The sequence below is a fragment of the Homo sapiens genome, chromosome 4 (genome assembly GCF_000001405.40).
Source record: "Homo sapiens chromosome 4, GRCh38.p14 Primary Assembly".
NCBI lineage: Eukaryota > Metazoa > Chordata > Mammalia > Primates > Hominidae > Homo > Homo sapiens.
The window spans coordinates 132,980,350-132,994,341 of NC_000004.12; the positions used below are offsets into that span (position 1 = coordinate 132,980,350).

At 34.1% G+C, this 13,992-nt stretch overlaps 2 long non-coding RNA genes across 2 annotated transcripts; one reads left to right on the forward strand and one right to left on the reverse strand.

The window, feature by feature from the left end:
* Positions 1–792: 792 nt before the first annotated feature.
* On the reverse strand, positions 793–5,312 carry LOC124900861 (uncharacterized). Its single transcript, XR_007058479.1, has 2 exons — positions 5,163–5,312; positions 793–1,007 (listed from the first exon to the last, which is right to left on the reverse strand). It is a non-coding gene; the product is annotated as an uncharacterized LOC124900861 (long non-coding RNA).
* A 2,005-nt stretch (positions 5,313–7,317) lies between these two features.
* Positions 7,318–8,050, forward strand: LOC124900862 (uncharacterized). The gene is made up of 2 exons (XR_007058480.1): positions 7,318–7,406; positions 7,845–8,050. It is a non-coding gene; the product is annotated as an uncharacterized LOC124900862 (long non-coding RNA).
* Positions 8,051–13,992: the final 5,942 nt, after the last annotated feature.

Here is a 13,992-nt window from a genome sequence, read left to right on the forward strand (position 1 = left end):
TCTGGGAGAATTAAAAAAATCAGAGGATGATTTGGGCATATTGCTGGGAAGAATGTGTTGCTATTTTAAGTAACGTAGTAGAAAAAGGTCTGACTGAGTTGTAGTAATATCTGAGCAAAAAGTGCAGGTAGTAAAGGAACTAATCATGGGAATAGCATGTCCGGCAAACCACAAGACCCTAAGGAGGGAACATACCCAGCATCACAAGAGATGAGCACAGGGGTCACGGGGCTGCTGCAGAGGGAGAAAAGCGGGTTGAGTGAGAGAAGATGGTGTGAGGGAGATAACAATGGGGCTATAAGGGAGCGTCTGGAAACCAATGATAAAATAATTGGCTTTTATTTGGGTGTGATGTGCAGTCTTTAGAGAGTTCCGTGGTTTAATTTATGTCTAACCAAGTTTCCTCAGGTTACTGTGCTAAGAACAGACTGAAGGGGTCAAGAGTGGAAATAGGGATGGCAGTTAGGAGACTATTTAAATCACCAGGATGAAAGACAATGACAACTTGAACCAAGTTATGGCAATAAGGTGGCAATAAGTAGAATCTAAACATATTTTAAAGGCAGAGCCAAGACACTGCTGATAGAACAAGTGAGATCATGAAAGAAAACTTCCCCAATTCTTCCCCATGTATAATATATGATACAGAATTAACTAATTCAACTACATAAATTTGAACCATATATGAAATAATTAACGTAATTATTTCCCCTAGTATTCTAATATTTCTTATCCAAAAGAGGCTTCCAAAAAAAAGAATTCCACACATACAATTATGGTAGCACATAAAAATGTAATGTGATTTTCTTCTTTTATTTATGCGAATTCTTATTCTAGGACATCGTAAACAATATTATCATCATCATCTTCATAAATTTTAGGAGGCCTTCGTTTGCACAAAAGAGTCATTAGAAAGGGCTAAAATGTTGTTACTTTCAATTGAAGATGGTCTCCCTTTGTGTTACAAATGTGCACTCTACTTTCCACACTTTCCTCACAGTCATTTTCTAGGAAAAAAAGTCTCAGCATTATATTTCTGAAGAGAGATGACAATATGTGAAAGCATGCATCTCTCCACAGTAACCATAACATCTGGAATATTCTAATGTCCTTACTTTGGTAGACTGGATCATTGTTCTCACTTTCTACCTGTCTCTAAACCTTTTTTTGCCCCTGACTTTGTTATATCTACCATTAGCATGATAAAAAGTATTCCTGAAACCGTTGATATTGGATGTGGCCAAATGACTTGCTTTGGCGAAGGAAATATTAGTAAGTATGACATAAACAAGGTACCTTAATGTGCCTAGGTGCTTTGGCTTCTCTCTTTTGCTTCTTTAACCATTGTGAGATAGACATGCCCTCTATCGCTGATGTCTCTTCAGCCTGGGCTCAGAATGGACCAGTGGAGTGAGCCAGACCCTGGCCAGAAGTCTGAAGCCAACCCAGCTGACCCACCCATACCCTAAAACAGGAATGCTCCTGGTGACTCACAGAATAGAGAGGAAGAAAATATATGTGCATTGTTTTAAGCTGAGTTATTCAGCATTTTTGCAGCAATAGTTAACTACTACACTTACATATGTAAATTTGTGAATGTTAATATTCAAATCATCTTTCCTTTATGAACAAGTATTACCCCTCCTTTATAAAGAAATGTCATCTTTATGAATGAGAAAAATATCATCCTCATTTCACAGAAGTGATTAAGGTACCAAGAGGAATTCTGTGGTTAAATTCTCAATCACAATTTTGAAAGAAAGTAGGGAGACAAATATTTTAAAGTAATAGTAATAATAATATCAACTAGTTAGCATTATATTCTTAGGCAGTTGGTGATAAATGTATTACAGATGGTATATTTTTTAAGCCTGGTTGAAAACCCTATGAAAAAGGTGAGGTTAATAACATTGCATAGAGTGGTGTTCCTCAAAGCAATGGTCTCCAGAGAAACAGTATCAGCATCACTAGGGAGATTGTTAGAAATGCAAATTAATGGGCTGCATTCCAACCTACTGAATCACAAACTTTGGGAGAAAGTTCCAGGAACCTGCATATTTTAACAAATATGAGAACTACTGGAGCTGGAGGAAGGAGTGCAGAGGACACAGAGGTTAAGTAACTTAGACAAATAAAATAGCTAATAAATGTTTGTTTTAGAATTTTAACCAAGCATTCTTCCACCAGAGCTTACATTATGTGGTAGGTGCTGTACACATAATTTCATTTAGTACTCAACAAACCTACAAAAAAATTTTCACTCCAGTTTTTATTAATAAGGAAACTGAGCTCCAGGGTTTCCTTAGTTAATAAATAGTTAATAAGTCATGAGCTGGTATCCATAACTTGATCTATTCAACTTCAAAGGCAGTATTTTACTACTATTCAAAAACTGATTCACAAGAAAGTCCAAACACATAGGGTATCAAGGAAAGTTTTTCCACAAGTAGAATATAATCCTTTAAGATTACTCCAAGACAATTGCATAGAAAATGCAAGACTTCCTGTGTTGTCAGTGGACTGTGTCTTATACTAAAAAGTAAAGACTAGCAACACATTTAATCTGTGAAATATTTCTAAACAGTCTATTCTAAAAAGAGTTTTGTTGAAAATTGTTTCAAGATAAATTATGAAAAACATAATTATTTAATAAGTTACTCACACATTAATTGAATTTTCAATTTCGCCTGTATGATAGGTTATAAGCACTGGCCAGTGGATCAAATTTTGGTGAAGTAGAAAGTTTTGTTTGGTCCATAAAGTAGTTTTTGGTTTGTTTTGTTTTTAGTGTTTTTGTTTGTTTGTTTGTTTTGTTGTTTTCTGGGGTTTTGTTTATTTTGGTAAAAACAAATCTAAATTTAAACATGAGAAGGAGTTACACAAAAAAACCTATATATTCAGGTTTCTTTTCAAAAATCAATCCTAGCAACACTAAACGAAGTTATAGATGATACAAAATATGACAGGTAGAAAGCCACGTCTAGTCGAGGCACTCTCTCTCCAGTTAGCCACTTCCTATCAACAAATGACATTTGAGTAGCCCTCAAGAGGCTGGAGTTGATTGTTTGGGGTTCAATCCTTGCTTTACTATTTAATAGCTGTGTGACTTTGAGCAAGTTTCATTGATTCTTCAACCATAAAATAGAGATGATAATAATACTGTAGGGGTTTGTTGTGATAAATTAATGATTTAATGAATTTTAAACGGTCAGATTATTTTCTGGCATCTAGTAAGTGTTTAATAAATATAAGCTATTATTTGTCTTTTTAATAGTAAATATTATTTTTTCTATATTCATATTTTGTTTTTGTGTTTGTTTGTTTGTTTTCAGGGATGTCAAGCAGGTCCCCAGAAGAAAAGAGATGGCATGCGTAAGTTAGTATAATTAAGGAAAGATTTAATAAAAGGACATTTTTTTTAAATGGGTAGAGTGTAGGAATGGTGGAAGATGTCAGCAACCCTAGGCCTGAAGGCTAATTTGACTCATCTGAGGTCAGTACTATATAATTGCTGTGTGTTTCTCTTCTACAGGTATTAAAAGGTACTTATTTACAAATGTTTTATCTGCAAAAGCTTATCAATGCACACCATATGTACACAGGTAAATTCAATATTATGAAAAATTCCTGGAATTGTCTATCATGTCACACTTCCCTCTCCACTTATATGTAGACACGTGGTAGATAAAATATTTTCTAAAAAAAATAGAAAATATTTATAAGCATAGAAGCATGAAAGTCAGTAAACAAATGTTATTTTCAGGATAACTAAAATACTAAAGTAGTAAAGTTATAAGAAAACAATTCAATTATTGCAATGGTTTGAATGTGTTCCCCACAGTTTGTGTGTTGAAAATTTAATCCCCAATGCAACACTTTTGATTGCTGGGGCCTAATAAGAGGTGATTAGGTTATGCGGGCTCTGCCCACATGAGTGGGTTAATGTTGTTGTCGTGGGATTGGGCTAGTTATCCCAAGAGTCAGCTTGCTATAATGGCCAGGTGTGGTGGCTCACACCTGTAATCCCAGCACTTTGGGAGGCCGAGGCGGGCAGAACACGAGGTCAGGAGTTCAAGACCAGCCTGGCCAACATGCTGAAACCCTGTCTCTACTAAAAACACAAAACATTAGCCAGCGTGGTGGCAGGTGCTTGTAATCCTAGCTACTCAGGAGGCTGAGGCAGGAGAATCACTTGAACCCAGGAGGCAGAGGTTGCAGTGAGCTGAGACTATGCCACTGCACTCCAGCCTGGGCAACAGAGTGAGGCTCCATTTAAAAAAAAAAATGAATTTGGCCCTTTTTGCTCCCTTGCTCTCACAATTTCTTGCCCTTCTGCCTTCAGCCATGGAACGATGTAGCACAAAGGCCCTACCAGACGCTAGTACCTTGATATTCCCCACCCTGCCTCCCGAACCCTGAAAAATAAATTTCTTTTCGTTTTGTTATTAAGCTTCTCTGCTTCTCCTATTTTACACTGCTCTCAAAAAGATAATCGTTCTAAGTAATAATTTTTACTTATGATTAACACTTGAAATTACTCTGAAAATGGAAGCCAGTATTGAGCAAGATGATATTTTGAGAGCTAGGAGTCATCCTGATAAACTACAATAGAAACATTTTATGGAGAATATTATTTTCTGTAGTATGAATGGAAGTACATTAAGTCATCTCTTATCCTACAGTTTAGGAAGAGATTTTCTGCTGACAAAAATCATATGCCAAAAATATGAATTTATAAGATAATTAATACTGTGAATTATTTTATAGTCTTACATTAAATATCATTGTTGTGATTGCCTGTAGTAAGTGTAAGATTCAAAGCTTATATTGTCATACTTATTGTTTTTAAAAAATATGTTTTAAGGTATACTCATGTTTCCTTTATTCGTCTGTCCAGTATGCACAGAAAATTTTAAATGTTACATTTAATTCCTAGTGTAGTTTAAGCCACTGGTTTTTTCTCTCTCATAGAATGTTTATTTAAGAATCCTGGTATAGCGTTATATTTATTCATGGTACTTGTAGCTTTATATGGTCTCTCTAAAATGTCTACCTGCAAGGAATAAGAAGATTGGATTTGACACTAGATCATCTACTGACTGCAAAATAATTTTTGTCCTCCATTGCATATACTTCACATTAGAAGTAGAAGACATCCTTACCTGAAACAGATGCAAAAAATCCTTCTTCCTTAAGAGTGTTCATTTTTCACAAAATCTCTAGGTTGTCCAATGCTTATAGTGTGATATTCTGGGAATCCTTCTTTAAAAAAAAAATTCCATTACAAATTTTGCTACAATACACAGCCTATTTTTTTCACACCCACATACCCACACATCCACTAACATTCGTTTTCTAAAGTGTGAAACAGGACTTCCTGGTGGCATCTTCACATTTTACGTAACTGTTGATGAAGCCACTGCTGACACTGGGAATGTCACTGTAAAATCCTGAGACTTCTGGGGGAAAGAAAGTGTTATCCAATTATTTGCTTAAAATATAGCACTGGCAAGTAACTGAGAAGGCAGTATCAACCTAACTGTCAACCCTTCAAAATCCACAGCCTACCAGTTTGAGGCAACTTACTTGTTAAAAGCTTTTATTAAACAATTTAAAAACTATGAATTATAGAGTTTTCCTCAGTTAGAAGATGAGAAGAAAATATCTACTCAGCAAAAAAAAAAAAAAATGAGGTGATATGATTTAAATTGGTTGACTTCACAGTCTGAATTCAGGGGATAGTTGCAGAGCTCAGTTTGCGTTGGGTAGCTCTCAAATGATTGTGCTCTTAAAGAATTATTTTGCAAGCACATCAGGAATAGTCTTAGAGAACTGTAATTTTCTGAATAGTTCAGGAAAAAAATGCTTAGGTTGAATTTCTCTGATCATTGAGGGGAACTGATATTTCCTTGGTCTGACTTATTTTTCATTTATATCCATATAGTTACTTGCAAACCCTTATGTCTATTTACTGTTCTATACAGTTAATTTTATATCTTCTGTTTCACCATTTTGAAATGGCTTATGTGAGGTCCTGATTATGAAAGCATGTTTTACTCTCACGGATCCAAACAGGAAGGGAAAAGAAACTCTTTACATGAAATTATAATTTTGAACAGAGACAAAATTGAGATCATTATTTCAATTAACATATATTAAATGATTGTGATCAAATGCAGATGACTCATGGGTTATTGTTGTATTTATTTTTCCTGTTAATGAAGAGAATTATTAACTGGATAAGTGATGTGGAATTATTGTAATGATCATTAACTGTGTATAGCCATGTTTCTTCTGGAATTCTTAATACTTCTACTTTTCAGAATTTATGGCATTACTTCTTAATCTTACTTTTGCTTAAAAACTCAGGTAAATATTAAACATACCATACATAAAATTAGTATTTTTATCATGCAGCCACTGATGTGAATTCCTGTGTGTGATTTTGCTACAACCACTTACAACATTTGTAATACCATTTCACAAATCTTCGGCTAATGCATTGATTCTACACAGTAAAGCATAAGTTAATAATACTTAAGCAAGCATAGATATTGCTGTCCTCTATTACTCAGGCAAGTTCAAGAAATGGGCATAAATTTTTGCTTTTAATATTAACCATGGAAAATTATTAGTAACTTCCGCCTAAGCAGTCTTGGAGATGATGACCTCTTGCTTTATTTACCATAATGTCTGCTATACTTTATAATAAGCTTCATATATGTATATGATATTAATTTTAATATATTTAAAATGTTAGTAAGTAAAAATAAAGTACACTGAAACTATTTTCATATGCATATAACAAATATTTGTTGAATTCTTATTAAATGCTATGCATGACTTTAAGAAAACTACTTACATTAATTCATTTATTCCTCATAACAACCCTATAAGATACAAAATATTATAATCTCATTTTTACATATAAGAAGACAAGGACACAGAAAAGTTAAATAAAATATCCCAAGATATATAGCTGTGAATGTTAGAAACTGATTCCAAAGATAATAAATCTGCTTCAGAAGCCAGAGTTCTTTTTTTTTTTTTTTTTTTTTTTGAGACGGAGTCTCGCTCTGTCGCCCAGGCTGGAGTGCAGTGGCGGGATCTCGGCTCACTGCAAGCTCCGCCTCCCGGGTTCACGCCATTCTCCTGCCTCAGCCTCCCAAGTAGCTGGGACTACAGGCGCCCGCCACTACGCCCGGCTAATTTTTTGTATTTTTAGTAGAGACGGGGTTTCACCGTTTTAGCCGGGATGGTCTCGATCTCCTGACCTCGTGATCCGCCCGCCTCGGCCTCCCAAAGTGCTGGGATTACAGGCGTGAGCCACCGCGCCCGGCCCAGAAGCCAGAGTTCTTAATGGCTATATTATAGAGCACTTCTATTTCCAGCTTGATTACTTTGAAGTAATTAGTTTTAATAATATTGTGTACATTATTAAGTTATTCTAGTCTTTGTTATGTGTATATATGATAAGGTAATAGTTTATTGTCTCAAAATTCTCTTTCTTAATGGATTATTTAGCAGTACAACACTTTCTTTTCACTAAATACTCTTATAATTTTAATATGTATAGTTTGGTTTGTGTGTTTTCAATATTTTGGAACATTATGTACATACTGCTGCTTTCTTCCTAATATTTGTCCTCTCATTCTTAGAATGAATGAGTAAATACATGGCTACTTTGAAAAGACTTTACATTTCTCATTCCATTTCATATCTAGGCATGGCCAATGAGATGATGCTTAATCAGCAAATGTCCTGTATTTTCTTCCATAAACCTTCTTTAAAGGTGAAAATCTTATATGTATTCTTATTGTTTCTTCTTCCTTCCCACTGCCTAGAATGTAAAGAAGACGGCTGGAGCTGAATCAGCCATCTTTGACTATGGTGTTGCTCTGAGAATGGGATTTGCACAAGGCTAAGTAACATCATAGAAGTAGCCCAGGTGCCTGAGGACTTCAAACACCCAAGCCTCCACTACAGCCTCAATTTCCTTCCTTACATTGTTTATGTGAGAAAGCAATAAACTTCTATTTTGGTTAATGCACTATTATTTTGAGTTATCTGTTACTCACAGCCAAACTGGGCTGAAAAGTCATCAAATCCTTGTGCCCAGCTTCTATACAAATAGAGAGTGCTACTCTACTAAATTAAAGTTAAGTAGTATTGGTCAATGTTTTAGCAGGAAATATTTTCAGTAACTGTCCTTGAAAGGACAGATATCCTTCCCCATGACACAAATATGCTCACTCTGAGCTAATGTGCTCAGACATTCACAGTGGAGGTGTTGGAAGGTAGACTAGAAAGATAAAATGGAATCTGAATGGAATTGTTTATTACGTTAGAACTGTTATAACTCCCCCTGGCCCTGGCCTAACTGCCCTTCACCCCCACATCTTGACCCTGACTCTTGCCCATTATAACTATGTCTGGCTTGTACTAGTTTCTGTTTTAATTGAAAATTATTACTTTTAATATGAAAAACTGATGTATAAAATGGTAGTATTTAGTTGAATAAACATAATGACAATTGAGCTTTTAGATGACATTTAAATGCTCAGAAATATGACACAGGAAATTTCTATATATAATGATAATATAGTAATTTAAAATATGTGAATGTAAAAAAATTTCGATATCATAATATTATTCATTCTATATGAGATTTAGGAAATACAACATAAATATATTTTGCATTTTTTATATTATTATTATTGTAGACAGAGTTTCACACTCTTGTTTATGCTGGAGTGCAGTGGCGTCATCTTGGCTCACTGCAACCTCCACCTCTCAGGCTCAAGGGATCCTCCCACCTCAGCCTCCGGAGTAGCTGAAACTACAGGCTCATGTCACCACTCCCAGCTAATTTTTGTATTTTTAGTAGAGACGGGCTTTCACCATGTTGCCCAGGTTCGTCTTGAACTCCTCACCTCAAGTGATCCCCCTGCCTCAGCCTCCCAAAGTGTTGGGATTACGGGTGTGAGCCATTGCACCTAGCCATTTTAAAATATTATTTTTAAAAGATTTATATTATTCATAAGTATTGCTTAATTGAACATCATTTTAGATATGCTATATATTTTTCTTCATTATGAGACATATATGTCCACAAAAGGTATTTCATGTAAGACTTAAAAAAAAAAAAAACTTGTCCAAACACCTTTTGTGAAAGAGACATATGACGTATAACATGATTATTGTGATTTAAATCACCCAAACAAACACTGAAACACATAATTTGATCATGGATGTAGATCCAGCTATAAGGCATGGATTCTTATTGCGAGTGTACCTCGCAATAAGAGTGTATCTTTATCGTGAGTATACTGAAATTCATATCAGGTTACATAGTTTTTATGGTTCTACCATATCTGATGTTCCATTACATCAGAAATGATGTAGAGCAACAAATCTAAGATACACGGATATGACTTGTTCCGCTAAGAAAAAAGCAACAAAAATAAGTAACATTTGAAGATAGCTGCTTCACTATTACCAAACCCTTAGAAAAATCTTGCGCATGATACTGTTCCATTACCCACTCATTTATTTAATCATATAAATAATGCAATCCATTGGAGTAAAATACCAACATGTCAAAGTGTTTGTTTATTTGAAGAGTTAGGTAAGATAATTGGTAAAGTTTTTTGACAAGATAGTTTTCTAATTCTAACTAAATATTTAAAGATTTATTGAGAATATTTTAGGGACTACAGGCAACATTTTCATGTAAAGAGAAGATTGATTCTGAATGTGTATAGCTTGTAAAAATCAAACACTTGCTGCTTTAAAAACGATTTGGGGAGGCCTGTTTTTATAATATAGACCTTTCTTATAAATAGTGAAGTGAGGAATAATATTGGAGTTATTTAAAGATACAGCAAACTTAAATTGGAAATGAACCACTTTTTATAGTACATTTGTGAAGCTCAGGAAAAATTTAGATTTTATTTGTACTAACAAAATGTCCTATTTTTATCAATATTTTTAAGAATATTTTTATTAGTACTAACAAAATGTCCTATTTTGTATCACTATTTTAAAGAATATTTTTATTACTACTAATAAAATGTCCTATTTTTATCAATATTTTAAAGAATATTTTTATTAGTACTAATAAAATGTTCTATTTTTATCAATATTTTAAAGAATATTTTAGTACTATTTAAATGTCCTTTTTTATCAATATTTTAAATAATATTTTTAAGTAGAAATATATCCTAGAATTGTATATTGCTCCTCTTTTCTTCCCATATGTATGTACAACTAGGGTGACTTCTATTTTCCAGATAATTCTTTTCCTGGGTTTCATCTATATATGCAACTCTCTAATCAACATTTTTAATTTTCCCTAAAATTCGTTTAACTGAAACTACAACTTTCTCCTTTCCCAAACAGCCAATTTTTCAGTATTCTATTCCTCAGGAAACCAGTGATGTAGAAAATTGACCATAATTCTTTCTTCCCAAATCCTGTATGTGACTACCACTTCCTGATCTACACCCACTAAAGCAAGTGCATATACTCAGCCTTTTGCATTCCCACACATGATGGCATTAATTTTAAGGATTAGAGGCTAGAATAATTGCCCAGTATTTTAAAATTAAATATTTATCCCCTTCAATTCACTGTTAATATATTTCATATATTTATAAAATATAAATATTCTACTTCTTGCTTCAGTTACTCACTTTTACCTATAGGAGAAAAACAACATATTCAATCACCTAAATAATGACGAAGGAGGCGTCAAGTTCTGCCTCTAACATCATCCCTTACTGAAATTCTCATCAGATATCACTCTCTAACCATATCAAAATACTTGCAGTTCTGAAAGTTTGTTTTTGCTAAGAATGGTCTTTTTGTTTCAACTTCTCCCACCACCACCCCTTACCCCCACCATCACCACAATCCCTATGTCACCTTATCTCTATGAGTAAAGCCTACTCATTGTTCAAGAGTAAAGTCATATAACCTCTGTGAGGTTTTTCCTGGATTCCAGAGATACAATTTACCACTCTTTCCTTTGTATACAACTGTACCCACTGTTTACTTCTACAGTGACTCCAGAATCTTAGTATTGTATTTACAGTTTATGTATCAGTTTCCCTCTAATAGATTGAAAGCTCACTGGGGTGTGTATCATGCCTAATTTATTTTGATATTCATACTATCCAACACGAGGCCTTCAGAAAGTCATCACTGAATGAATAGATGAATTACAAAATAACAACAACAAAAATGAAATCTATAGAGTCCTCGACCATAAGCAAAGATCTTTCATATTGCATCCTGCTGTGGTTTGAATGTGTCCCCTGCAAAATTCAGATGTTGCAAATGTGATAGCATTAAGAGGGGAGGCCTTCAAAAGATGATTAGGCCATGAGGCTCCTCCCTTGTGAATGGGTTTAAGGCCCTCATTAAAGAGACTTCATGCAACGTTCAACTGGCTTCCCCTTCCACCTTCCACCATGTGAGGATACAGTGTTCCTTCCCTCTGGAGGATACAGCCCTCACCAGACAACTGAATCCACTCCCTGACCACCAGAAGTGCGAAAAAATAAACTTCTATTCTTTATAATTTCCCTACCTGAGGTTATTCTACTGTAGTAACATGAACAGACTAAGATGCATCTTAAGAAATAAATTTCACAAATACATAAAACACAAAATGTAAAAAATCAAGACTTCAACTTTACATACTAAAAACTCTAAAATATTATTTTCCTAGTGACGTTTGAGTAAAGGAGTGGAAATTTGAAAGCAAGTCTAATAAAGAAACAGTAGTATTTCAGTTTTTCAAACAGAAAGTGTTATTGAAATATCCTGATGATTTGAAAAAGCCATGTGATTAGGATTATATAAGAATTTAGATTCTGTTTGGGCTTTGTCATAAGAAGTTATGGGATTCTAGGAAGTCATTTACTTTCTCTGAAATCCAGCTTTTTGAGAGTAGGACTTAGTGACTTCTTAATTTATGTTTAGCCCAGAAACCTCAGAAAATTTTATTTTATGGTTGTGGAGTTATATAATCTTGATAATAATCAAAATGATTTTTATATTTAATTTTCTTTACTAATGTAAATAAAAACTAGAGCTTAGTATTAAAATGTAAGCTTTGTTTAGGAATTTTCTGAAAATCTTCTTCCTGCATGCTCTTTTCTTTTTTAAAAAAATAATTGTCAATACAGGTTTCCAGTGACTTTATTCAGTTTATTGGACATTCAAAATACTTCAGACTCAAATTTTCCAAAGAAGTGATTAATTTTAATAAAACAGATTTATATATATTTGGAACAACATCTTAACCATATTTGAAGTGTGAAAGCAGCTTATACCTTGCCATGGCATCATGACAATTAGATTTGCATTTTATCACACAGATGGGGGTAAATGCACACAGATACAGAAAAACACATACCTACTTCGTACCCAGAAAAGAAAAAAAAAGCCTGAGTAGCCTGTCCAGTTGGTCCAGCTGTAGTTTTCAAAATAAAGGAAGCCTTGGCCTTTTCCTGCAAATTACTGACTCAGTAACAACAACAAAACCCCATTGTTTCTTTGTTTTTTATACTTCTGCCTAAAGGGATAACCCTGGTAGCTGGAATTCACAAACACATTTATGGGAAGGATTCTTGCGGACTTATACTATTAAATTTATAGATTTTCCCTTTTTTGTTACTAATATTCTTCTTTGTCCTCAGTTGGGACTGCTGGTCCTTGGAACAAACTTCTCCATTTCAACTTGTCTGGACTGGTTTTCTTTCCATGTATCAGAGATCTGCTCTGATTTTTCAGAGGATGTTAATTCTTTTTTATTTTTTTTTCCTTAGCTCTCTATATTGTTTTTTGTTTTATCCAAAATGTATTGTTTTTCTTTTTCTTTTTGGCTTTGTTTTTTGTGTTAAATTTTCTTCAGATGTTTGGTAATCTTTTGATGGCTATTTATATTTAAGTGGGAGAAACTGAAATAATAAATGGAAGCTTCAGGGTAGTGGCTTGGCTTGCTGAACATTTAACAGAAAGTTGTGTACCTGATTGGTGGCAGACGGCACTATGTCAGCCTAGAGGGACCTTGTCTTTCATGCCTATGTCTTTTAATGACGCTCTTGTACAAAAGCATACATTGTTTTACACGATAATATATACCTACATGTAAGAGAAGGTAGTTCTGCCAAGTAAAGTGTCTTCTGGGGAGATATAAATCCATGTCACATTTAACAAGCCATGCAGAGGTGCTTTTGAGCATAAGGCATTCTGTTTATATCATGCAATAATGATTACCAAGGCCAAGCTTATTGGAACATTGTAGCTCAAAGATCTACAGGCTGGCTTTCCATTATCTTGCAGGTACTATAAATTAATTCCATTTTATCTGGATAAAAATTAACTTAACCACCCTGATCTACTTTCCTAAGGAATGTGAAGGTGTGACAAATTAAGGGGAATAGACAGTAAAGGAACAAGAAGAAAAAATACATAACAATTTGTAGAAGCCATGAGGCACTAGAAAGTATAGCACTAATTGTCTAGTATTACTAGTAGACTAATTATATATCATATTCTATTATAATTATATTTATTCAATTATTATAATTACAAATGTATAATGATTTTTATAAGCCAAGAAAATATGGTGTTAATAGTTTAGTGTTATATTCTGTGAAGTCACCTACTTGTGAAAATTAATTTTTTCAATCCTCATAAACACCTATGAAGAAAATGATTAAAACTGTTAAAAAAAATCTACTTTGAAAAGATTGGGGAGCTAAGGTGACCATGAAGAAAAGGGGCCAATATCTGACAGAAGAAGGAAACAAGAGACAAACCCAGTGCCTCAGATTTCCTCTAGAAGAATCTGCCAATTCCAAATGAAGTGGTCAAAAGACAAAACTGGAACAGACAGAGAACCAAAAATTGACAAGCTATATCCAAGAATGAGGGTAAGCAAAGGAGATTGGCCTTAATAGGGTCAAAACTCAGTTTCAT